Consider the following 27537-nt stretch of genomic DNA (forward strand, 5'->3'; position numbering starts at 1 on the left):
TACATAATCATGTAGGCTATATTTGGTTATGCATACTATATGACTGGCAGCTCAGTAGGTTTGTCTACATCAGCATCACCGTAAACATGTGAGTAATGCATTGTGCTCTGACATCACAATGGCTATATCACCAGGCAATAGGAATCTTTCACCTCCCTTGTTGACTGAAATGTGCTTATGCAGCACATATATAATAAAAATGATAAAAGGCTACTCTCTTTAGAAGGACAGACAACATGTGAGTTTGGACCATTATAGGTCAGATGTGCCTTGAATAGAATTTTTATTTTATTTTTTTATTTTTTTTTTGAGACAGAGTCTCCTTCTGTCACTAAGGCTGGAGTGCAGTGGCACGATCTCGGCTCACTGCAACCTCTGCCTCCCAGGTTCAAACAATTCTCCTGCCTCAGCCTCCCGAGTAGCTGGGACTATAGGTGCGTGCCACCATGCCCGGCTAATTTTTTTTGTATTTTTAGTAGAGATGGATTTCACCGGTTGACCAAGTTGGTCTCGAACTCCTGACCTCAAGTGATCCACCTGCCTCGGCCTCCCAAAGTGCCAGGATTACAGGTTTGAGCCACTGCCCCTGGCCTTGAATAGAGATTTGAAGGAAAGATGCAGCCAAGGGGATGTTGGCAAGTGAAACAATCCATATTTAAAGGTTAGAGGGATGAAATGGAAGTGAGTTCTGGAAGTTTGATGGAGGCAAGTCTGTGGAAAGTTTCAAACACTAAACCTGTGCAAATGAATTATCTTCAATTTTTGTAATTTGTTTTTATGCAATATATTTTCTGAATATATGAGTGATGTAACCTTGATGGTATTATAGGAAGTTGACATTTCAGGCAGTCTTACTAATTAAATGTTATTAATTCAACATCTGTTAAACAAATATTTTTGGGTGCTAGTTGCCAGACTCCAAAATAATAGCCAGAGAAAATAAGGTGAGTGCAAACTAAAGGCATAGCCTTTACTCTCATAGAAAAGTCTTTTTCTCTAATTTTTAAATGTATTTTGTCTTTAAGATAACATCACAAGTTCATCAAGAGTAGAAAAAAAAATCACTTTCTTATATTTCTTCTGTTTCAATCACAGTCCATATGGCAAAATTAGGCAAATAGTAATTGAGCAATAAACCCCAAGTTGATTGTTTAATGGAATAATCAAGAAATTTCTAGATGGTCATTCCACTTTGGATCATTACAGCCCTACCTTACAGCAGGTGGGTAAGATTTGAGAAAAGATATTTAGGCCAGGCACGTTGGCACATGCCTGTAATCCCAGCACTTTGGGAGGCCAAGGTGGGTGGATCACCTGAGGTCAGGAGCTTGAGACCAGCCTGGCTAACATGGTGAAACCCTGTATATACTAAATTAGCCAGACTTGGTGGTGGACACCTGTAATGCCAGCTACTCTGGAGGCTGAGGCAGGACAATCACTTGAATCTGGGAGGCAGAGGTTGCAGTGAGCTGAGATGGTGCCATTGCACTCCAGCCTGGGCGACAAGAGCAAAACTCTGTCTCAAAGAAAAGAAAAGAGATATTTAAAAATTATGTAGTTAGATTGACTAATGCCAGCAGCTATGGATCGTTCAGGCTGAAAACTTCCCTTGGAGGTCTTAATGATCCAGATTTCCTTATTAATACATGCAACTGTCACATGCTCCATCACATTCTGTATTGTCTCCCTAAAGCTTCAATGTCTTTTTTACACTGGAATTTATCAGTGTCATCAAAACATTTAATGCTGGTTAAAATGATAGCCCCTGACTTAATTATATGGGCTGTCAGGCAAAATTGACGGATGTCAGTGACAACAAAGCTTATTCTAGCCTGACCTTCACCGAAAAATACACTGAGAAATGGTATTTCTATCCTCCTATCCTCAGATCAAGCTTTTATCTGTTGGCATCATTGTCATTATAATTATATGTGGTATAATAATAGTGATTCTGATTTAAATTTTGTAAAATAGAAACCACATCGAACTTGCTTCCTAAAGTGTGATGTAATTTTTTAAATAAAGAGGAAAAAATTCTAGACATTTCCAACTCCTTAAAAAATACTGTGTTTGATTTGTTGACATAGGGAACTGGAAAGTGGGGTAAATTGAAAAATAGTAGAGTTTTAGTTTCTAACACTCATATCAACTTTAAATTTGTCTTTTTGACAATTTGGAGGTACTTGATTGTATTTCTATGAAAGGAAATCATAAGAATGAGAATATAAAGATCACTGTTTAATTCCTAATATGAATCGTGCTCTACTGTCCAAAAAAATAGACACGTGGCTTTTTAGATTTAAAGTTAATTAAAATTAAAATGTAAAATTCATTTCATCAGTCACATCAGCCACATTTCATGTGATTCGTGGTCATGTGGCTAGTGGCTACTGGATTAGATAACACAGGGGACAGGGATTTTTTTTTTTTCAGATGGAGTCTCGCTCTATGGCCTAGGCTGGAGTGCAGAGGCGTTATCTCGGCTCACTGTAAATTCTGCCTTCTGGATTCAAGAGATTCTCCTGTCTCAGCCTCTCAAGTAGCTGGGATTATAGCCGCCCACCATCATGCCTGGCTAATTTTTGTATTTTTAGTAGAGATGGGGTTTCACCATGCTGGCCAGGCTGGTCTCGAACTCCTGACCTCAGGTGATCTGCCTGCCTCAGCCTCCCAAAGTGCTGGGATTACAGGGGCCGTGCCCAGCCAGGGAATTTTTGTTGTCTTAGAAAGTCCTATGGAGAGTGCTGCTTTGCTGTATTTGCATGTAGTTTTATCATCTCCATGCAGTTAACAGAATGTTTTCAGGAGGAGAATTCCCTAAGGTGAGAAACTGGTTTTCTCAGGAGACTATTTGGACAAATGACAACCATGTTATTTAGTGAGAGTGACCACCAATGGAGCCCTATACAACTGTCACTGGCACTGCCTGAAGGGAATTTATAACCAGGAGACTATTGCTGTTCTTAGTTGTGTCTAAAATTGCATTGTCATGATTCACCAAAGGCATGTCATGATGTACCATGTGCCTTTTGAGATGGGATAATACTTATCTATAAGATGGTATGATTATCAGATTGACTCCTTCTCCTACAAAGAAGCCTCAATATATTTCAAAGAGTAGAAAACTTTCTGCATCCCAGAGAGCAATGATTTTTATCATTGAACAGTGGAAGTGTTTATTTCCAAACTATTTAAGTGCTGCACGTGACCCCAAAGTTTATCTTGAAATTAGTTACTACACTGAGACACAATTCTGTGAGAAATGGAAGTAAATTTTAAGTGATCCCATCTCAGGCTAAGTAGCTTGCTGAGAGTTGTGAGACAAACATCTCTATACTTTGATGCTTTTCTGTGAAGAAAATCATGATTATAAATATGGACTATATATAAATATAGTAAAAAAAAAAAAAAAAAAAAGAAAGTAAAACCTATGCTATTACAGGCCAGGAGAGCAGATCCCTTTGATGAGAAGAGGTAAGGATTAGTGATTGGAAGGAAATATGAAGGGAATTGTGAGGATGGATGAATTTCTGTTTCTTGATTAGGGTGTTTATGTGCAATTTTTGAAGTCATCAAACTGTATACTTATAATATTTGCTCTTTTCTTCATATTCTACCTCAATAAAAATGTGAACATATGCATGAACATACATACCCAGATACGTATGTGCCTGAGTGTGTGTGTGCGCGTGTGTGTGTGTACAGGCATATAAGTTTGTAAATTTAATCCAGTATCAAAACTCAATGAAAACCCATTTTTTTCTAACGTGGCTGTGACTAATTATTTAAGGATTGCAAACTTACTAAACAGTCCAAAATCTTTCAAACCAATTTAAATCAAAGCATAATATTATCGAAAGATTTAAATTTATGCATCACTTTTCCGTGATGGAATGCTAAGTAGATCCTATCCAATGCTTACTTCAGATCCACTTCATTTCCAAAATGCCACTGAAGCATAAGTTAATTAAATTACATAGATTCTAGGCAGTGATGGGAAAAGTAATATTTGATTAAGTGCATATGCCTGCAAAAATCCCTCCGTTGCCATACGTGCTGATACATCAGCTGCTTAACTGCTGGCATTTTTAATCTATCCAAAAGGAAGACATATTTAAGTAGGTTAGTTATTCCTTGGCTTGTGAAGTGCTATCATTTTTGTTGTTTGCTAATAGTCCTGTAAGGCAGAATTCATTCAAAGCCAGACAGGAAATGCAATGACATAAAACCTGGTATTTAGAGTGCATATGCTCAGAATTCACAGCGATACTGTGTCGTAGGTGGTGGTTTCTTGCAGGCATTGCATTTCTCTTGATTCATGATAATGTTTGAAGCTTTGAAAGTGAAATTGACTAAAATTAATTCTACTTGTGAAACTGCCCTCCGGAAAACTGTTCATGTCTATGTGTATCAATGTGCTAACATAGCAATAGCATTTAAAGGCTTGACAATAAAGGCAGTTACTAACAAATAAAACATTAGAAAGGGCTTTTTTAACAAGTAAATTTCAGGGGAATGGTTTCAAGTTTAGACAGAATTATATACAAGTTCCCAGATGTTCATATAAATATTAATATATCAGTTATTTTCTATTTGACTCAATTATGCACAAATCAGCACATAATAATTTAATCAAGCTCTTCATCTCTCTTTGACAATACATTGCATCATGGAGTAGAGAAAGAATGTGAAATTCAAGGTGGCTAGTCTACTGCTAAACTCTGATGAAATGACACAGAATAATGATTTAACCACCAAACTAAGAAAAATCCTTCATTTTCATGTACATTTTACCTATGTCCATTCACTTATCTAATGATCCTATACATATTTATCAAGTATTAGTATGTGCAGGGCTATGTCTTCGTTGCTAGAGATACATCTTGTGACTCACCAATTCTCTGTCCTCATGGAGTTTCTATTCTAACGGGGAAACAGAATACTGGCAGAAAACAAACCAGTAAATACATCATGTGTCAGATATTGATGAGACACGTGGAGAAGAATTAGGCAAGGTAATTTGCATAAAAATTGTGAGATGAGATGGAGTGCTGATGTTGTTATTTTAGTTGAGGGATATGGACAGGGTTACTCGAAAGGTGGTATTGGAGTAGATAACTGAAGGAAGTGAGAGATACCCACGTGGATACCTGAGGCAGGGCTGCTCTCAGAAACTCACCTAGAGTTTGCCATTAAGCTTGCCATTACTACTTTCAGAAGAACTCAGAATATTAATTTACTTTCTCCACATTCCCTACAGTATGGATGAAGAAATATCACCACGTTCTTTTGTTTGTCTAGACACACAAAATATCTACAGTAGTTGGAGGTACAGACAGAGCTGGGACTAAGGCTTGATTCACCTATTCATAAGCCAGGAAGGAACTCTTGGTTGAATGTAAAAAACAAAAAATATGGTCATATTGCAAACAGAAAAAAAAAAAGTCAGCTTCTAAAAGGATAAAATATAGGGCAAGTTTCTTGGCAGGATTTTAAATGATTCTGTGGAACTTCATTATGACATATTTGTCCCTAAACATTATATGTAAGTTTTTATTTTTAACATGTGCTTCTTCCTCTTAGAATGTCTGTTTACATACTCTTCTTGTGCATTTTAAAAAATTTATCTATAATGTGCAGTTAAACTTTTCAGCGCATTGTTTCCCGAAAACTCCAAGCTGAATTGTTCTCGGTTCTTTGTGAATTATTAGGTCAGTGCAAAAGTAATTGCGGGTTTTGCCGTTGCTTTTAATGGTAAAACCCACAATTATGTTTGTACCAGCCTGATCCTAAGCAATCTCATTATCGTCTAGATTCTGCCACTTTTCATTGTATTATTATATCTATTTTTTCACTAACAGAAATAATTTTTAGTGTCCCTAATGTTTAGTGTTGTGCATATTTTAAAATCTTAATGTTTTCCAAATAAATAAATGAACACGAGATTAACTTACAGGTAGAAAAATGTATAAAACCTCATCAAAAATGATGGCTCTCTAATCAGTATCCTTGCTATACATTGTAAAGGGACATTAAGTATCCACCCAGCCTTTAGAGGTGGAAGACTGGCTCTACCACTTAATGGTTGTATAATAGTAAACACTTTGGTAAGCCTCAGTATCCTGAGTTCTAAAATAAACATATAAATGGTGTTTGTCCCAGTGGTCTGTTTAGGGTCACAGTGACTAACGTATATAAAAGATATAAAAGTGTTTTGTAAATTTTAAAGTGTTTTTCACCTCTTCATTTTTATGACTAATTCTAATATTATCTTATATTTGAAAAGCATAGGGACATAGGAAGGAATTAACCGTGTAACAGATAATGAACTAAAAATTTTCTTAAAAATAATTGACTGAAAAGATATATTGGGTTGAACCTATACTAGTATAAATAGTAGTTCAATAAATCCAAGCTAATTATTGGAGGCAAGAAAACTACAGTGGAAATCTTTGTACTTATCATGAAAGAAGCCTTGTAAAATTTATACAGGAATAACTGTCAACTCCATCACATGCAGGGGGTACAGAATGAGGTAGAACAAAGACAGATACCTATGGAAACTGAGAAGGACTCAGATGGTCTCGTTACTATATGGAACCAAGTTTCTGCTTAGTGACAAATCAGAAATTTATTATGTTTTCTTGTCAGGAGATGTGTACTCAATTGCTGATTATTTCAGAATTAAACCTATGCTAATGGTTTACTATCAGATCCATGTTAATTAAAAATTTAAACTTGAAAATGATTCTGAGATGTCCTTGATATGTGAAGTGCTATTTTAATTTGTTTTGAAACATTCTCCATAATTACAAGCTATACAGAAAAAAAGATCTGATTTTTTTAGTCTTCAAGTCCACAAAAATAGGGACTAATAAAGAAAAGGAAGAACCAGAATTACTTTATATAATTCAGTCAACTTTTTGACACACTTGTAAAACTATTATATTTTAGAAATGTGCAATTAATAGGCATTTTCATGTTTTATACACATATTAAGATGGGTAGTTTTTGTTTTGATGCTATAGAAACATATTTGATCAATATTTTCTCATGGTAAAGCAAAGATTTTCTCAACACACATCGGCAGCACGTTCTTCACATTCATTTGGTCAGGAGATTTTTGTGAATAAATGGGATTTCACATTTATTCTTATATTCATAATAAAATATAAGAATTAGTGCACTTGGCCAACCGTGTAGATTATCCACTTCAGCATTTTGCCTCTGACAAGCAACAAGAAATATATTGTCGAATGTACTGTCTTCTACCTGAATATTACTCTAAAAATTAAGCAGTACATGCCCAAACTGTTGATTTTTTTCAGACTACTCCAAATTCAAACTGTGTCAATTCTGACTAGAAAACCAAACCTCATAAAATTATTATACTATGTCAAGTAATATTTCTTTTTATTTGCCCTCAGTTTTCTTCTCTGTTGGTTCAAAGGAGATTCTTGTTAACTGAATTCAGTTGAAATATATCCTTAGCCTTCATAATTGCAGAATCATTCTTTCTTCAGCTTCACAGTTTTTTTTATCTTTTCAGTCTAGAGTCTACATCATTTAAGTCTGTCCCCAAAAGGCAGACTCTGTCCCTTTGATGTTTTTTGCATGCTGTGATCTGGACCTCAAAACCTTTCATTTTATCATTCTTGTGCAACAATACATATAGAAGAAGCAGGTATAGACTCAGTATTTTGCAGAAGAAAAGCATTTTGTGTGTGTATATGTTTTAACAAATTATATACATTTCTAATGATGTCAATGTTGTGATTTTTAATTTAAAAAATTAAGACCATTTTGAATAGAGTAACACATTAATTTTCTTTTTTTCTTTTTTTTTAACAATGAGAACACTTGGACACAGGAAGGGGAACATCACACACAGTGCCTGTTGTGGGGTGGGAGAGGGGGGAGGGATAGCAATAGGAGATATACCTAATGTAAATGAGGAGTTAATGGGTGCAGCACACTAACATGGCACATGTATACATATGAAACAAACCTGCACATTGTGCACATGTACCCTAGAACTTAAAGTATAATAAAAATATATAAAAAAAGAGAAAATACAGAATCAAGAAATAAATAAATAAAAATAAAACAAAACAAAAAAAGTAACACATTAATTTTCTTAAGAAAGTAATTCCCTAAACCATAAAAATGTCCTGGTAAATATGTAATCAAAGAGATGATATTATAAGCAAAAAAGTAAAACTAGAACAATCAAATAAACACAATGCTAGGGTAATGTTCTTCTTCCTTAGGAAAGCCAGGTGAATAAAAATGAATATTCATGAATTTGTTGAATCTTGAAACAATTTTTAGCATCTCAGAAATAAATTTGCCTTTTTTATAAATGCAATGCCTAGTAATCTCCAACTGTTGTCCAGTCAGTTATTTGTATCCACTAGTGACTGTCTCAAAATTCTCCTTGACTTCTTATCAGGAAGATGGGGAATAATTTTTTTCCATCTGATAGGTGTGGAACAAAGCAGCCTCACCCTGAGGCTGACTTCAGTATGTCAAACAAATGGCTGTTCTCTCACAAATAAATGACAATAAGCCTGTTGGTTGCTTTCTGAATTCACACTGATAGGGCTCCCTTCCAGGGCCCTGAGTGTGCAGCTGTTCCTTCTTAACACAGACTCAACAGGTTCATGACATTATTTTTTAATGGAGTTTCTATAGAAATTATGTTTTAAAAATTCTCATCTGCATGAGATATGTTTGAATCTCATATATTGACATGTACACATTAATTTAAAATTAGAACTTTTCAGCATTAAAGAGGGACAAGCATTAAATATTGTACATTAATTTATATACATTGACAGGAACAATCATATTCGGAGAAATTAGAAGATATCACTTGTATGCATATCATTTTAAGAAATAACAGGGAGGGAACACTTTTTTAAAAACTACTGTGAAGTTGTCAGTATTAAGAGGATTTAATAGAATAGAATTTGTTGCTTCTTATCTACTTCAGTATTGACTATCTGCACATTCAACTGCTCTCATTGAAGTAGTGAGAACGATAATATTTCATTTGTGGGGTTAACTGCAGTAGTAGGTTTTGGTTGAGAGGAAGAGCGAGGGGAAAAAATATATATGAATATATAGAAAGAGGGAGATTTAATCCTCAGTCTCAAGGTCTGTCTTCAAGATATCTTGCCGTCTTGGTTGTGTTCAGAGTTCAGTAATTCCTAATTTAACTAAATCTTTCTTATTTTTCTTTTTCAATGAGACACCAGAGGCATAGAGGCATTGTAATTGAGACTTCACTGAAGCAAAGCCTTTGGATTCAGAAAGATCCAGACGTAGCGCTAGCAATTCGACAAGTCACTTCCGGTCTGAAACTTGATACCCTCACCTGCAATGTAGGAATAATAATTCAGACTATTGCTTCAAAGACTAAATAATATGACTGATGAGGCATCGAGGACATTGTTATATACTATGAACTTAATCAATGTTCATGTAAATGTATATTGTTTCTCTTGCATCTTTAGAAAATACAAAAATATAATTCACAATTCACATATGGACATTTAATAATGAATATGAATTTGCAGGACACTGGACATTAAAAGAATTACTTTGTGTTTTTTTTTGTTTGTTTGTTTGTTTGTTTTGTTTTGTTTTGTTTTGTTTTTTTGAGACGGAGTCTCGCTCTGTCGCCCAGGCTGGAGTGCAGTGGCGCGATCTCGGCTCACTGCAAGCTCCGCCTCCTGGGTTCACGCCATTCTCCTGCCTCAGCCTCCCGAGTAGCTGGGACTACAGGCGCCCGCCACTACGCCCGGCTAATTTTTTGTATCTTTAGTAGAGACGGGGTTTCACCGTGTTAGCCAGGATGGTCTCGATCTCCTGACCTCGTGATCCGCCTGCCTCAGCCTCCCAAAGTTCTGGGATTACAGGCGTGAGCCACCGCGCCTGGCCAAGAATTACTTTTAAATCTACTGAAGAACTTTGAAGTTCTTCAACTGTATTTTTCTCATCCTTGAAAGGAAATCATAAAACGTGCTTTGCTATTATTCCCAGGATTGTACAAATTGTACTTACCAACTTATTTGCAAATTTTTCTTTTCGTATTCTAAGTGTTTATTTTGAAAAACATATATAAATCGTATATATGAAGTAATTGCAGCTGTATCTAAAATTATTTTTCCAACAATAGTTCTCTTAGCCCCTAAAAATATATATTGCATTAGTTTATTTTTAAATTATTTTTAATATTTTGACTTTATAGGGAATGCCTGTATGCCTCTGCTTCTCACTGGTAAAAAAGCTTTGGTTACAGTAACATTACTGAATTGTGTGCGCATTTACCAAGAAGTCTTGAAGATAGACCCTGGTATTCAGGATTTAATCTTCCTCTTTTCCTACATGTTTTATGTCCTTTCTTTCTTCCTATCAACCAAAATCTATTATTGTAGTTAACCCCACCAATTAAACATTATTATTCTTGTATTATACAGTTTATTTTTTAAAAATTTTTTTGTGAGATACTTAAAATTTCTGCCTTCACTATTCCTTCTTGTATCTCAGATTTTCCATTTGAGTTATTTTGCTTAAGAGTCCACTTAGTTCTTGTTTGCAGGAAGTAAAATTTCTTGGTTATTGTGTGAAGATGTCTTTTTCTCAAACTTGTTCTGAGTTCGTCAGTCTAGAAAGGTAACTTCCTCTCAGCACGCTGAAAATAATATTACATTGCCAATGTCATTATGGACATAAGAAAATCTGTTTTTAAGTGATACTTTCTTGTAGATGATCTGTCTTTCCTCTCTGGCTTCTTTTAAATGTTCTCTTCATCTTTGATATTTTGAAGTTTACTGAACTAAATTAGTTTGGGGAGGTGGAGGTAAATCTCAGCTTTGCTTTCTGCTGGTACTTTTCAATTACAATGATGTCTTTTCCTCCCATATTTGGTGACTTTACATTGTGAATTCATACCTAGCAGCATACCATATGGGAATCCTGAATGACTTTGATTGACTATATTTTTATCTACAGAAAATATTTTAATTTTATTCTGAATGGTATTGGGATATGCTGCCAGTCTCGAACCACTTTAATTTGATTCCTCAGACTGGGGAGTTCAGATGTAGGGGTGATGTAAACTCCATAACCCAGAAAAATGAAACAACAGGCCTATCATTACAATCTTTAAGGAGACTTTTTTTTTTTTTTTTTCCCACAGAGATAAGTAACAGATTCTAGGAGATGTCTTCATTGGTTCCTTTTGTAGACAGGCGGTTTTTTGTTTTTGTTGTTGTTGTTGTTTAACCCCTATTTATACCCTCACTGAAATTATAACACTTAAAAGTGTCTTCACATTATTCATGAATCTGCAGTTGAAAGTCTATTTTTCAACCTGTGTAAACCCCAGCCTCTCATTTCTCTTCAGGTCCATTCGTCTAAATATTCTCGATCCCAGTTACCTGCTTGACATTTAGAGTTAGAGGAATTTAAAGTTACGCTAACTCCAATGGTTTGCTTTTCAACAATTTTTTTTAAAGTTTTACCTTTATTTTAAATTTCTGTATCTCTTGAATGTTCTTGTATTTTCTCTTGAACTCTACAATGAACTAGCATGTATTTTGTTATGGTTTTCCCACAATGGAGTGCTTTCTGTCAATGGAGGACCTATCTGAATTTGTAATCCTCCACATTGCAGGTGGTAGTGCTGTAAATTCTTTTAAAACTTTTACAGCTCTTTTATAATTCGAATATAATTATTGATCATTTGTGTTTGAAACATGAAAATTTATCAGAAATTATATGAGTATTATGTATTCAAAATCAATTTGTAATAGCAATGAATCATAGGACAAGTTCAAACATTAGAAATATAAAATGGCAAATTTTTAAATGGCATTTAGATTCTAAAGCTGGAATTTTAGAAACAATTTACTCGATGTTTCCAATTTGAAAAGATAAAACAAATTGAAAAGATTGACAAATACACAGTATGTGTCACTCGATTTTTCTCAAAATGAAATTATTGCAAGGTAAATCAGGACCTAAAGAATAATTACCTCATCTGCCTGCCCTGGGTACCTCCATGAATATGAAAACAAATAAATGCAAAATGAGGAGAAACTTAGCCATAAAAACAAAAGGGAATAGGTATGCTTTAGTAGCAACTTTGTGTTACTAGCAGCCATACTAGTCTTGGGTGTGGATTGACGACCAAATTCACAGAACTCAGTACCGCCAGCACAAAGCTTACTAAGCTTTAAGAAAAGACCCAGGACAGGAAATACACAGCATGCATACAGACAGAGGAGAGGTCTCATGAGTTCCCCTCTCAGTCATTTGTTACTCAGGACATGCATTCTAGAGAAGAGGCTGAGTTAGCATGGTCAATCTGATATCCCTTTGTTACTGGCGGCAAATCCATGCAGGTCTCCCACAACCTCAATTCTTGCTTGCCTCCTCAGAAGAAAGAATTCAACTGAGGGGCATAGGGCAGAGTGACAGAGTGAGACAAGTTTTAAGCAGGAGTGAAAGAGCATTAAAAAGTTTAAGTTCCCTGTAGATTCTGGATATTAGACCTTTATCAGATGGGTAGATTACAAAAGTTTTCTCCCATTCTGTAGGTTGCCTGTTCATTCTGATGATAATTTCTTTTGCTGTGCAGAAGTTCTTTAGTTTAATTAGATCCCATTTGTCAATTTTCGCTTTTGTTGCAATTGCTTTTGGCATTTTTGTCATGATGTCTTTGCCAATGCCTGTGTCCTGATTGCTATTGCCTGGGTTTTCTTCTAGGGTTTTTATGGCTTGGGGTTATACATTTTAAGTCTTTAATCAATCTTGAGTTAATTTTTGTATGAGGTGTAAGGAAGAGGTCTAGTTTGTTTTCTGCATATGGTTAGCCAGTTTTCCCAGCACCACTTATTGAATAGGAGATCCTTCCCCCATTGCTTGTTTTTGTCAGGTTTGTTGAAGATCAGATGGTTTTAGATGTGTGGTGTTATTTCTGAGGTCTCTGTTCTGTTCCATTGGTCTATATGTCTGTTTTCATACCAGTACCATGTTGTTTTGGTTACTGCAGCCTTGTAGTATAGTTTGAAGTCAGGTAGCGTGATGACTCCATCTTTGTTCTTTTTGCTTAGGCTTGTGTTGGCTACATGGGTCTGCTTTGATTCCATAAGAAATTTAAAGTTGTTTTTTTTCTAATTCTGTGAAGAATGTCAATGGTAGTTTAGTGGGAGTAGCACTGACTCTATAAATTACTTTGGGCAGTGTGGCCATATTCATGATATTGATTCTTCCTATCCATGAGGATAGAATGTTTTTCCATTTGTCTGTGTCCTCTCTTATTTCCTTGTAGTTCTACCTAAAAAGGTCCTTCACATCCCTTGTTAGCTGTATGTTAGGTATTTTACTCTCTTTGTAGTGATTGTGAATGGGAGTTCATTCATGATTTGTCTCTCTGCTTGTCTATTCTTGGTATATAGGAATGCTTGTGATTTTTGCACATTGCTTTTGTATCCTGAGACTGCTGAAGTTGCTTATCAGTTTAAGGAGTTTTGGGGCTGAGATGATGGGGTTTTCTAAATATAAAATCATGTCATCTGCAAACAGAGACAATTTGACTTCCTCTCTTCCTATTTGAATACTCTTTATTTCTTTCTCTTACCTGATTGCACTGGCCAGAAATTCCACTACTTAGGGCAGGAATGAAAGGAACTAAAGTACACTTGGAAGAGGGCCAAGTGGGTGACCTGAAAGATCAAGTGTTTGACCTTTTGGGGTTTTATACAGTGGCATGTTTCTGGGGTCTTGTGTTATTTCTCCCCTGATTCTTTTCTTGGGGTGGGCTGTCTGCATGCACAATGGGCTTTTAGCACTTAGGAGGGGCCACATGTGCCATATGTTTACTGGATTTACACGCATGCTCACTTGAGGCATTTTTCCCTTTCCAGTCCAGTGTTCCTAGAGAAAGATCATATACCAGTTAAATGCTGCTATTTTGCCTCTTAGTGGCATACATGAGCCCCTTGGCCCAACTCCTGAGATCTTATCAGGAAGCTACTGATCACCACTTACAGATGTTTCTGTCCATTGAGAGACTGCCTTTCCCTGGTTCTGGCTGGGACCAATTATTATTTTAGAGGGACAGCTTAAAAACTGCCTGACCACGACCTGATGGTCACCTGACATTCCTGGTTTGCAGGGCAGAGGGTGGGAGACTCTCCTGCCCTGCTCATATCTGACTAGCTACGTACTATAATGCCTTCACCTTTTACAGTTAGACAATCGGACCCATTATATGTGCTCTTTCATCTATATGGGTTACTCATTATTCCATAACTAATTTAAACCATGAAATTAGGGAGATTGGCCTGGCATGTCATCCTTGGGCAAATTCTCGTTCGCATATTATCCGGCATAGATAAACTCCTAACAATTCTTGAATGAGTGTGGCAAAGGGGAAATAAAGCAAATGACAAATCATCAGGTTTCCCCAATGCTAGATGTTAGCCCTTTTCTTTCACATGAATATGAAAATAAAAGATTACATCCTAGATAGAATGCTGAAAGATACTAGAAACCTCTTCCCCCCACTTCATCCTAAGTAGTAGAGTGTGATGTGTGGGACCAAGTGAAGAAAAATAGAGAGGATCCTGGAATGTCCTTAACATAGAAAAAATAGTTTGGATGTAAGAATAGGACTCATACAAATAAGAAGCACACCAACAGACGTCCCTTTTATAAGTGAAGAATAACAGTGTTCAAAAGTAATGTGAGGTGGCTCCAGGGTTCAAACAATAGGAAATCTGAGCTTATACTGAGAAACCTAGGAGGAATCTTCCTGACATGATAGAATTTCTCCCAAATGTTACTGGCAATGACATATTTTTTGAGCAAAACGGTTTGTACTGATGAATGATCTCAGAAAAGAGAAACATGGAAATTACTGTGAAAAATCAATTTGCTGTTCTTTTTTTGCCTGTTCAATAGGAAGATAATTTTCCTAGGGTTGGATAGATAGAATCAGTTGATTATTATTGAAAATGTTTTCATAATGTGATTGACAACACCGAATATCTAGCCAAAGTAGTAGCATATGAAGAGATTGAGAGACATGAAGAAGGCTGTGTATTTTTTAATAAATTTACCTGAAAAGTGCATTAATTAACTTTACAATAATTGGAGATAGGAGTCAGATCATAACTAGCTACCAAAGAGCATAAAGTGCCAGAATCAATATTACAGTAAAGATTTAAACTTCATAAAATTTTCATACATAGTGCCTTGTATGTACAGTAATTTATTAGCTAACTCGGTAGGGAAATATTCTAGTTTGGCTAAGTGAATCTTCTTGTTACATACTAATTCACCAACATTTCAAAGATCAGGCTAAGTCTTCATTGAAAAATGGGACCTCAGCTTTGACTCAATTTTTACCTACATGCAACTATGAATCAAACTTTATCCATCTAGGATTTTCAGTTTGGGATAAAATGGAATAAGCTATAAAACCTGAACAGAATGCATAGAGCATCTCTTTGAGGACTCTAAAAAGTAAATAGTGACAGATAGATTGGAAAAAAACAGAATTCAAAATACCACTAAATTGGTGGTGACTTTCCTTTTTTAAAAGTTTCTCCAGCCTGGACTCAAGTTAGCCTGAAAGATGGAAGCAGGCATCAGCATGGACATAAGGAACACCAGGAGAAGCCCTGTCATCTAGGCTTGAGAACTGAGAAAATGGTTTGTTGGAAGCTGTAGGGGTCCGTCCCACAGACCCTGACCCAACAACAGATGAATAACGTACAGTGACACAGATATTATGCTTGTCAGTCTGGCTGAGAATCCAGACCACTTACAGACTCCCGGGAGAGTGCTGTGATGAGTTGCAACTCCCTGGCCCTCCTGGCATGTATTCAGCACACAATAAATGACAAAAGTCTCAAGTAAACACCATTAGAAGGTAATTACTGTTGCCGGACCCCCAGGAGTAGAGAGCAATCATGCACCGCAGATGGTCAAAGGTTAGTCTTAGGACCACAAGAGTAAACAAGCGATTTAGATAGACTTCTCTACATTCCTATGTTAATCACCCTTGTTATAGCTCAAAGAGGATTAGGCTGCCTTCAGCCATAACTCTATCCTGAGGCTTTTGCAAAAACCTTCTGGCCTTCCAAGATAGTTTATTTTACAATTTTTCCCCCCATCCTGAGTGAACCCCTACAGGTAGCAGTAGTAGCAGCAGCAGTGAAGTCTTGCAGCTATCCAAGGAAGAGGCATCATCCTCCTTGATTTAAGTAGCTGTGGCCTCAAGAGGATGAGGCAAACTCACATTGTTTTTACTTTATTTTTGTCCACTCACCACCTGCCTTAGATATGGGTGCAGCTTAGAGAGAGGGCAAAAGAGTTAGATAAATAAATCCGCTGCTTTCTGGATAAAAGACCAAAAAAGGGAAGACCAGAGAATTGGAAACTTCAGGGGAGATTACAGAGAGGGAGAGCTAAGGAAACCTAGTCAAATCTAGTGGCTTGACCCCTACCCAGTTGACTATCTATAAAACAAAAGTGGAGATATTTTTCATAAGATAATAACAAGACCCAGATTTTCAAAACATAATACTCAAAATGTCTAGGATAAAATGAAACCTTACCTCACATATGGCTTACAAGGAAAATAACATCCCACATATGAAAATACAATAAAATAAATGCCTCTATTGAAGTGACACAGTAATGAGAGTAATTAGACAAACAGTTTAACAAGCTATAATAAAATATTCCAACAAATAAAGGTAAAAATGTATTGCAGGAATGAAACAATAGAAAATCTCAGCAAATAGGTGTAATAGAAGATACAAATGGAAAATGTAGCACTGAAAAAAATTACTGGATAGGCACAATCACAGGATGGAAATGACAGAAATGTGACAATATACTTGAAAACAGATCAATAAGAATTATGCAAGATTAACAATAGAACCAAAATTGAAAAACATGAACAATTGTTAATTGGCCTTTGGAATAGTTCCTAAGGTTTATGATTGGCACTACTGGTGTCCCAGAAAGAGAGGCAAAGAGCGTAGACCAGAAAAAAATATTTAAGACATAAAGGCTGAAAATTTCCCATATCCAGTGAAACATATAAACCTGCAGATTCAAAACACTCATCAAACCCTAAATCAGGTAAACCCAAAGAAGTGTGGGCCGAGACACAGCATAATCCAAGAAAACAAAAAGAGTAAAGAGTCTTAAGAGCATCCAGAGAAAACTGTTTAAATGTTTTCAAACTATCAAAGAAACATGGAGACGTTCTGTTAAATGTCTGTCTGCAGATTTCTCATCAGAAATTGTGGTGATCAGGAAAAGAAAGAAAATATGTTTAAAGTGCTGAGATAACTGTCCTCCCAGAATTCTAAATCATGTAAAAATAATGTCCAGAAATAAACATAAAATAATAGTGTTCTCAAATAAAGGAAAACTAACAGAATCTGTTGCTGTCAGAATTGCTCTGAAAGAATTGCCAAAGGAAATTCTTCATAGAAAAAGATACTAGAAAGAAACTTGCAATATCACAAACGAAAGAAGAGCGACAAAAATGGCAACTATTGGGGTAAATAGACTTGTTCTCATGATTCTTTAAAATGTTTGGTAATATATAGTAATGAGATTTATATGCTCTGGTTAAAATGCTAAAATACCAATTCTGAATAGAGTGAGAAAAGTTAAGTATTTGGATGATAATCCCCAAAGTCACTGGACACACACACACATGTCTGCAAATTATACAGTGAGATACAGCTGAATGTGCAGTAGGTGTATTTAAATAGAGTAAAAAAGATGTTGGAATAACCCAAGGAAAATAAGAAAAGATGAATAAAGATTGAAAAACAGAGGGAATAATTGGAAAAAAAATAATAAAATGGTAGACCTAAATCTAAGCATATCAATAAATACTAAATGCAAACTGACTAAACACACATTTTAAAATACAAAGATTGTCAGAATGGATTAAAAAAAACATGAAATGGCTATATGCTGTCTACAAAAAATTCGCTTCAGATATACATAGTGATGTAGATAAGCTAGATATAAAGGATTGAGAAAATAATATATATGCACACACGAACAAAAACAAAGCTGGAGTGGCTGTGTTAATTAGATGAAGTGGGCTTAAGGAACAAGACCAGAGACGAAGAGGGACATTATATTTAAAGCAGAAAACAATCCCAATGTGTATGAACCTAACAGCAGAATTTTAGAAAACATAAATCAAGCATGGTCAGAACTGAAAACACAAACAGACACATTCCCAAGTAGAGTTAGAGATTTCAACATTCTTTTCTCAGTAGCTGATACAATCTGTAGACAGAAAATAGGTGAGAATGTTGACCTAAGCTGTGACATCAATCAATCAATTCTAATTGACATTGGAGCACTCCACTGGACACAGCAGTGCATACATTTTTCCCATATACACAAGGAACATTCACCAAGAGCGCCCATATTCTGGATTCTAAAGCAAAGTTCAGCAAATATAAGGAATTAAAATCACACATAATGTGTTCTACAATAATAATCAACTAAATAACAAAGATAACAGGAACACCTCCAGATATTTGAAAATTTAACACATTTTCTTCTTTTAAAAAAATCTGTATAAATTTAAGGGGTACAAGTGCAGAAAACAAGGAACAACATTACATGGATATATGGTATAGTGATGAAGTCTTGGCTTTTAGTGTAACTATCATCCAAATAATGTACATTGTACCATTAAGTAATTTCTCATTCCTTACCTCCCTCCTACTGTCTCACCTTTCCAAGTCTACCAGTCTGTTATTCCACAGTAGCATACTTTTTAACAATCCATCAGTCAAAGAAAACATCAAAAGGAAAATTAGAATACATACTGAACTGAGGAAAAATGAAAATTCAGCAAATCAAATTTGTGGGATGCAGCTAAAGCAGTGCTTAGCCAGAAACTTGTAGCAGTTAATGCTTACACAAAAAGAAGAAAAGCTTGACATGAATAAGCTTGGATTATCTAAGATTCCATCTAGAAAAAAGAGCAAAGTAAACTCCACAGCAAGCAGAAGTAAGAGAATAAGAAAGTGAAAAGTAGAAATACCCTCTTTAAAAAAAACCCAGGAAAACAACAAAGAAAATATATTAAAACAATAGCTGTAAACTTCTGGAAAGACTAACAAAGAATTATCTTTATCGATACCCAATTATCAATATAAAAATTATAGATAGACTATCACTACAGACTCCATAAACATTAAAACAATAAGTCTGTATCACAAAAAATCCTACACACCAAAGTTTGTCAAATTGCATGAAATATATTAATTCCTCAAAGCCAGAAATCACCAAAGCACAACCAAGATAACTTAGATAACCATCATGTTCATATAACTATTTAATTTGTAGTTAGTCTTTTTCTGAAAATAAAATCCTCTTGGCCAAGATTGTTTCTGATAAATTCTAGGGAACATTTAAAGAAGAGTTATTTTGTATCTTTGTTTACTTTGTTTTGAAGATTGTTTCTAATAAAATTTAGGGAACTTAAAGAAGAGCTATTTTGTTTCTTTGTTTACTTTGTTTTGTTCTTGTTCTACTTTAATGCATACAATTGGAAAGGAAGAAATTAAACTGTGTTTACTCACGTAAGATATATTCTATATAGAAAACTGAAAGGTTTTCCAAAGAACTTCTGTAACTAATAAGATATCGTAGCAGGATTATAGGATACAAATTCACCACACAAAATGAACTACATTTCTCTATAGAAGCGAAGAACTTTTGAAAACCATATAATCACTCCAAAATAAAATACCTAGTTGTAAACCTAACAAGTACAGAAACAGAATGTTGACAGGTATAAAACACTGGTGAAAGAAATCAAAGGAAGCCTAAACAAATGGAGAGTTATCACATATTCATAGATTTGTCTCAATATAGTAATAATGTTAATTCAACCCAAAATGATCTGTAGATTTAATGCAAGTCCAATCAAAATCTCAACAAGATTTCTTGGCCAATATATAAAACTTGATTCTAAAATGTATATAGAAAAGGACAAAAGTGCTAAGGTGATAAAATAACCAAAACAATTGCGAATAAAGACAAAATGGGAGACTTTCATTTTCTAATTTCAAAAAATTGTTTAGTAATCAAAAGAATACAGTATTAGCTAAGGGCCGGACACAGAGATCAGTGTCACAGAGAAGATAATCCAGAAGTAGACACACAAATATGGACAAGTTTTGACAAAGGTGCAAAGGCAATGACAATAGAGAAAGGATAGACTTTTCAACAAATGGCTTTGGAGTACTTGGGCAACCACATGCAAAGAAAAGAGCACTGAATTAAACTTCACAATTTATCTAAAAATTAGCTCTAAATTGATCATAGATGTACATATAGAACACAAAACTGTAATACATTTAGAAAAAACACAGAAGAAAACCTTCATTCCCAGGGAGTAGAGTTTTTACACCTTACAACTAAAGCAAGACCATGAAAGTCATATCTATATATATTTATATATATATATGTGCATATAAATAGGACTACATCAAAATCTAAAATTTTTGTTCTTTGAACTTACTGTTAAGAAACTTTAGAGAGTCTAAAAGTCTCCTAAAGTTACAGTTCACATTAACAGTAACTTTGAGAAGTTAAAGTTACTGTTTACTTTAACAGTAACTTTTAAAGTTAACTTTGAGAAGTTAACTTTAACAGTAATTTTAAAGAGCATAGAAAGAGCAAAAATATGTTCAAGCCACATATCTGAAAAGGGAGCTGTATTCAGAATATATAAAGAAATCTCAAAATGTAGCAGTAAGAATCAAATTTAAAAAGGGCAAAAGACTTGAACAGATGTTTCACGAAAGAAGACATGGAAGTCCAGTAAACATGTGAAAAGATGTTTAAAATCAAAATCACTAGGAAAAAGTCAATGAAAATCATGAGATATCGCTACAACCCATTAGAATAACTCCCACTAAAAAAAAGTATTAACAATTCCTGGTGCTGGTGAGGTCAAAGAGCAACTGGGATTCTCATACATTGCATTGGGAAATGAAAATGATATAGTCACTCTTTAAGGTGGTTGGTAGTTTCATGTTAAATTTAACATTCACTTACCATATGGCCCAGCAATCCCACTGCTTGGTGTTTACCCCAGAAAAATAACTTAGATTTATACAAAACCTACATATGAATGTTTATAGCAGTTCTCTTCATAATTGCCAAAAACTTGAAATAACCCAAATATCTTTCAATGGTTGAATGGATAAGCAAATTATGATACATCCCGACTATAGAATACTACTAAACAATTAAAATGTGTGCATTATTTTGGTACTCACAACATCTTACATCAAACTCGAAGGCTTTAATCTGAGTGAAAGAAGCCAGTATCAAAAAGTTACAGCCTCCATGTTTCCATGTGTGTGTTAATCTCTAAAAAGATAAAACTTCAGTGATGGAAAACAGATCAGTGGTTGACAGGATGTAGGAGTGAGAAGTAGTGGGACTGTAAAGAGATGGAAGGAGAGAATGGGGGAATGGAATATAACTGTTCGGCCTTCTTTTCGGAGTTGGTGGCTACATCAGCATGGGCACAGGAGAGAATTCATAGAACTGTATGCCACATTAAAGGTCAATTTTATTGAGTATTAACTTAAATATGACCTTAAAAATAATTATCCACTACATACCAAACTTTGTATTTAATAGTAGTAAAAAGCTTGGAAGATGAGCTGCATGAAAATGCAAAATAAAGGCTGTCTCTGAGGACTTTAAGAGAAGTAGAATCATTATAGGAACACACACTTTTTCAAAAACTTCATATGAATGAAAGAGTTCTAAGGAACAATATTACACTGTTTATATTTCAGAAATTAAAATTTCAAAATAAAAGTTTGATTAGAAATAAGAAAAACTAAGGCCAGTTTAAAAATTAAAGCCAGTCAAAAAATAGATTACAGAAAATATTTTTTAAATAATAATTGATTATAAAATTATAGCTAAGAAAACTCTAGGCCTCTTTCAAGCAAAGTAAATTCCAAATAAAGCATGTTCCTCATATAACTTCTTGACAGTGACCAGAATATGATTTAGACACAACAGTTAACCAAACTTATAAAATGCACCTCTTACTTCGTGATTCTGAGGAAATTTCAGAGAGTGAAATTCCAGCCTCTGTTTCTTTTGTTTTGTGGTCTTTCAAATATATAACATCCCTGAGGAGAACGTAGGAAGCTCTTCTACTTTGTGTCAAGGCTCCGGGTGATTCATTTGGAATCTTCTACCTTTGATTCACACATATACTTTTAGGTTCAAGAGTATGCCTTACTTTATTACCATAGCCTGTCGCAGGCTCGATTAAAATTTCTGGAAACAAATGAAAAATTGTGTTATGAAAAGAATATGATTCTAAGAATCAGGAGGCTCTTATTGGAATATTAGAATTATATACATACAGATCATTGCACTTAAGATATTTCCACTTAGTCTGTGCCTCTGTCTACACCTTGATTTCTGCTACTTCCTTGGCCCCCAAGTATGTGATTCCCTAAATCTATGCATTTCCATGTCTTCATGCTTTGCACATGCAGCTTCCTCTGCCTAGAATATTCTTGCCTCATTACTCACCATAATCATTTCTACCCTTTCTTCTAGAGGCTATTCAGGAATTACTTCCATTGGTAAATCTGTCCTAATCATTCTCTACTCCCCAGATGAAAGATCAACTACTTACTCAACCATCCCATCCACCGTTTGTCTTCACAGTACATTGAGTTTGCCTCTAATCTTACCCACTTACAGCATCACAAGGAATTTTTTCTCATCTATTTACATTTTTACTTTTTTCTCTTGCCAGCAATAGCTATAGAAATTCAACAAACGCTTGATGAGTAAATGTATAAATGAAACAATGAATGAATGAATTTAGCTTTCTTTGGCTTCAGTCCTTTCATTATAAAACATCTATAAAATATTCTCTACAAATATTTTTTTCATTCTGCAGTAGGTGTAGTATTTGAAAATGTGTTATTTACAAAAACTGGCAGAATAGATGAAATCCCTTCTCACATAAGAGTGTGCAATTGTTTTCATAACCAGTTTAGACAACACTGAATAAACTCACACCCACTCTACCTATAACATCTCTGCTCTGATGTTAGCAGAATTTCTAAAAGCAAAGTAAAGTTATTTACAAGTTATACCACTGAGAATTGAAAATGTTATAACTGGTACATTATTTTGAAAGAAAAAAATGTCAAGGTGCCTTTATTTAGAATTAAGTGGAAATAGCTTTGCTGATTCATAGGAATAAAATATATCCTGCACAAGTGAAAAATTTCAACAATCCTCATACATTTAATGGTTTACCTTATTTTTTTTTGCTTGAATTTGTGGTGAATTTGAAAAATTATGAAACCATTTTATGTATATTGAATGGATCTATTGCTGAAAAGAAAGTCCTGCTTACAAATTTTTATTTAATTAATTTAATTAATTAATTTAGTTTTTTGTTGTTGAGCTGGAGTCTCACTCTGTTGCCAGGCTGGAGTGCAGTGGCACAATCTCAGCTCATTGCAATCTCCGCCTCCCAGGTTCAAGCAATTCCCCTGCCTCAGCCTCCCCAGTAGCTGGGACTACAGGTGCACACCACCATGCTGGGCTAATTTTTTGTATCTTAGTAGAGACAGTGTTTCACCATGTTGGCCAGGATGGTCTTGATCCCATGACTTCGTGATCTTCCCGCCTCGGCCTCCCAAAGTCCTGGGATACCAGGCGTGAGCCACTGTGCATGGCCTACTTATAAGAGTTAACTCAATAAATTAGCATTCATTTGTAAATCACCCAAATATATATAGAACATCATATTAGACAAGTAGATAGGAAAATTTTAAAGTCCTAATCTGTGTCCTCAGCTTGGGTACAATAATAATGATTATGGACAGGCATATACAGAACTTTTAATACAAGAAAAAAATGTATTATGAATTGTGTATTGTTTTAAGAGTTTCACAGATTTTGTACAATCTGATATTCTCAGTAATGGTGAAGTGGGTAACATTCTTTCACATTTGAGGAAACACGAGTATGGAGACATTAAGTAACTTGCCCAAGGACACACTGTAAATAGAGAAGCTGCTATTGGCTATATGAATCTAGAGTTCAAGTTCTTAAAAACTATGCTTTATAGATGATTAATTCTGTCTTGAAGTTTTATAACTGCAGATAATCAGCATGTTAGCTGGAGGCCCACTCAAAAGACATTCTCTTTACAGGCAATAAATTAGTCAAGTCATAGAGGTAAAACAATTTAATAAAAATATTGATGTGATTGGAAATCATGAAGAATTTGACTGTATTTTAGGTTGTGCTAAAACAGGAAAAGTAATTGAAATCAGAAGACGGTTTTGAAAGATAAGATTTTAAGCACTCAATTTATTCATTCATTTCTGCATTTCTCTATGAAGGACTGGGCGCCTACTCTGTGCAAATCTCTGTTGCAAGTACTGAGGGTGGAGTAGTGAACAAGATAGAGAAAAACCTGTGCTTGTGAAGATAACATCCTAAAAAGAATGACAGACCATACATAAATATGTAATATATGCCAGATAGTAACAAGCACTCGAAGGAAAAAGAAAGTGGCTAAGTAATAGAATAGTTTGATGTGAAGAATTCCATGGTATAGGCTCTATCATGATTTACCCCTGCCTCAAACATTACATCCCAGCAACATCAATCCGCTAATCATTTCCTTGTATACTTCCTGATAGTTTTAACCCTCCTCTCCCTATCTTTTCTGTCTGCTCTAAGGGGAATTCCTTTCTTCCCATTGCTTTTAATTATCTCTGACCCTTTAAGCATCACATAAATCTTTCCTTAGGTAAAATATTATATTCCCCCAAAAGGTTCTCTCTGCTTAATTCTCTCTGCTATTGTCTCATTATCTTAGGCTTAGCATCACCTCTTGACACACCTCTCGCCTTGATAGCACATCTCCTCTTATATTTTCTTATCTTTTTCTTATTTTTTCATTACTTTCTTCCTTCAGTGACCACGATAGTGCCTCATGCAAAGGAGACATTCTACAAATGTGTTGGGAATGGAAAGCAGATAAAGATGTGATCGAGATGAAAGAGAAAAATGGCATTTGGAATTCTCCCTTCAGAGATCAAAGTTAACAGTATGGTGATACGGCATCCAAGGAAGACAGAAATAACTGATTTCAAGACAGCGAAATTTCTACAATTTACCAGTTATTTAAAAGCTAGCAAACAAACAACGGCATACTCACCTTCATCTGTTGGGGGAAAATTATTTTTTGTCATTGCTCACTTCAACATGGGCGCAATGAGAGATAAGAGACACTAAGAAATGAGTGTAGAAATGAATATTTTTGCTCATTCTGCTAGAAAATATAATACTTAGTAGAAACAGATTCCTGAATTGCTACACTTTAAACATGCAATCACATTTTACTATTATATGCTATACACATACTCTAAATGTTGTAAGCTTAATATTTCAGATTGTATAAGAGATTTTGAGGCATGTTATTGTACATACAAATAACATAAATAGGGTTACCATCCTAATCCAAGGGTTACTTAGAAAAGAAACCAATACTATTTTTGATATATTATTAATGACATTGTCTTCTGACAACATAATTTCTTATACACACTGCTTTTACTTTAAAAATTGTTTCTAGATAAACATAATGTTTTTTCCTCTTTTGCTGTTTTTTTATTTTTGGAAAAATTAAAGGCATCTTTATGTTTATTCTTAGAGATAACTCAGCTTCATCTTGGCCCACTTTCAAGTAAAATTCAAATAAATTAATTTGAGGGATGTCAAAATGTCTACCAGCCTAATAACTTAACAACCTCTTAAGATGCCAGTGGGTTAGAATAAAAGACCTACATCGAAGGGAATGATGGGGAACATGGCAGGAGGGAATTTTGTCTTAATATCCTTTCTTAGAAGCATGCTTTCTGTGCTCAGCTGCATAGAAACAACTGGCTTCAGGGAGCTACCTTTTACTCAATCTTTAGAACAGTATTATTCATTCAATTGCAATGTTGACTATTGTATATACAATTGACATAAGGCCTCAGGACATTCAGTCTTCTGTTACGGAATTTATGGAATCTGAGCTCTCCTGCTGGGATCAAGACACCATCTGTAGGAACTGGTATTATGAACCCACCTCTGGGTTACTTTAGATGGAGCCACGTGGCTCTGGCTCCTAGATCTCAGCTGTATCCATGGCTTATGCTGATTTTCCACCTATAGGGGACTATGAAAATTCACTTGTCTTAATTTCAGAGTGAGACATAAGTAAGGGTGATTAGATTGATAGCATCTCCATTACCAAATCAATCAGTCCATGGCTTGTCAGCATTCTTTCTAGGGTTTGCAACTTGTCTGAGGCTCAGTTCACTCCTCTAGGAAATGGAATGAAGTGAGGGAGGATAAGATCAGGCTATGATGTGTGGGCCTTTCTCAACATTAAAGTAGATCATTCCCATCATTTGAATTCACTATTATGATTTTAATTAAAACCTTTGTTAATATCTAGATTGGTATCTTATAAAGACATAGAGAAAAGGATGGGTTCATTTCATCTGAAAGGTTAGGGTTTTCTTTGGTTTGATATGTTTAGCTTGGCTTTTAAAATTCTTGAACAGACTTTATTTCTGTTCTTAATGTATTTTTTCTATTTTAATTATTCTGGCTTTTTCTCAAGTAAATCTGCTATTTTTAGAATAGATTTCTATCTATCATCTCCCATAGCTGTATTGGCTCTCATTTTATTCTTGGTTCTTCATTTCTGCATTCTGGGAAAGTATCTCAAATTTGTCTTTCACAACATTGACTGGACTTACTGTAGTTTCCACTAGCACAAATGTATATTTTAATTATGCTTTCTTTTTCCATTTTTGTCTCTCTCCAGAAATATTTCCTAACGGTCATACTTGTAATTACTTTATGTTAGTTTTTCATCTGGGGATCTCCTTTGCTAGGATTTTTGCATTTATTTCAGAGAAATCAGCTGTCATTTAGCCTGCAAAAAATGCCAGCTGATTAAATGATACCTCTGTTGTTCAAGGGCATATGATTTCTGTGACCATTTTTGGATGTTGTTTCACTTACTTTGTGCTCTCATATTTTTCCCACAAACCCCATGGTTCTTTGTAGGTTTTTCCCTTTAACCTTAAGAGATGCATATTCTCTTATAAAGTCATTTTGTTGCCAGAGCTATAATTTTCTCCTTCTTCTGATACTTAGCTCTTTGACATTTTCCATTGAGCAAGGGAGAAACTGCAATCATCAATCTGTATGACTCCTAGACCCTTCCTGACTTCATCATCTCATGCAGCACTTTACCTGTGATCATTTTCCATCTCAGTAGGTTATGCTTGTTATATGGTGAAAGAGAGACGTGGAGTGCAGGCTGGAGAAGTGGGAGGCAAATGGTCTCAAAATAGAACATCCCTGTAGTGAAGTTCTGGGTGT

General features: G+C 35.1%; 1 protein-coding gene, 1 long non-coding RNA gene and 1 other non-coding gene across 4 annotated transcripts in view, besides 1 other annotated feature; all 3 read left to right on the forward strand.

The window, feature by feature from the left end:
- The window catches only part of GPC5 (glypican 5), a 1468617-nt gene that overhangs the window by 1085823 nt on the left and 355257 nt on the right, over positions 1-27537 (forward strand). The gene's annotated exons all lie outside the window — the stretch shown is intronic.
- GPC5-IT1 (GPC5 intronic transcript 1) lies at positions 160-25877 on the forward strand. Its single transcript, NR_046779.1, has 2 exons — positions 160-238; positions 25070-25877. It is a non-coding gene; the product is annotated as a GPC5 intronic transcript 1 (long non-coding RNA).
- MIR548AS (microRNA 548as) lies at positions 5720-5777 on the forward strand. Its single transcript, NR_049840.1, has one exon. It is a non-coding gene; the product is annotated as a microRNA 548as (primary transcript).
- Positions 15773-16067: a silencer, noted in NCBI's record as "tiled region #998; HepG2 Repressive non-DNase unmatched - State 24:Quies, and K562 Repressive non-DNase unmatched - State 25:Art". NCBI's record gives its function as "represses a minimal TATA promoter and a strong SV40 promoter by Sharpr-MPRA in HepG2 and K562 cells {active_cell/tissue: HepG2 | K562}" and the evidence as "EXISTENCE:reporter gene assay evidence [ECO:0000049][PMID:27701403]".

Source organism: Homo sapiens, chromosome 13 (genome assembly GCF_000001405.40).
Source record: "Homo sapiens chromosome 13, GRCh38.p14 Primary Assembly".
In the NCBI taxonomy this organism is placed as follows: Eukaryota; Metazoa; Chordata; class Mammalia; order Primates; family Hominidae; genus Homo; species Homo sapiens.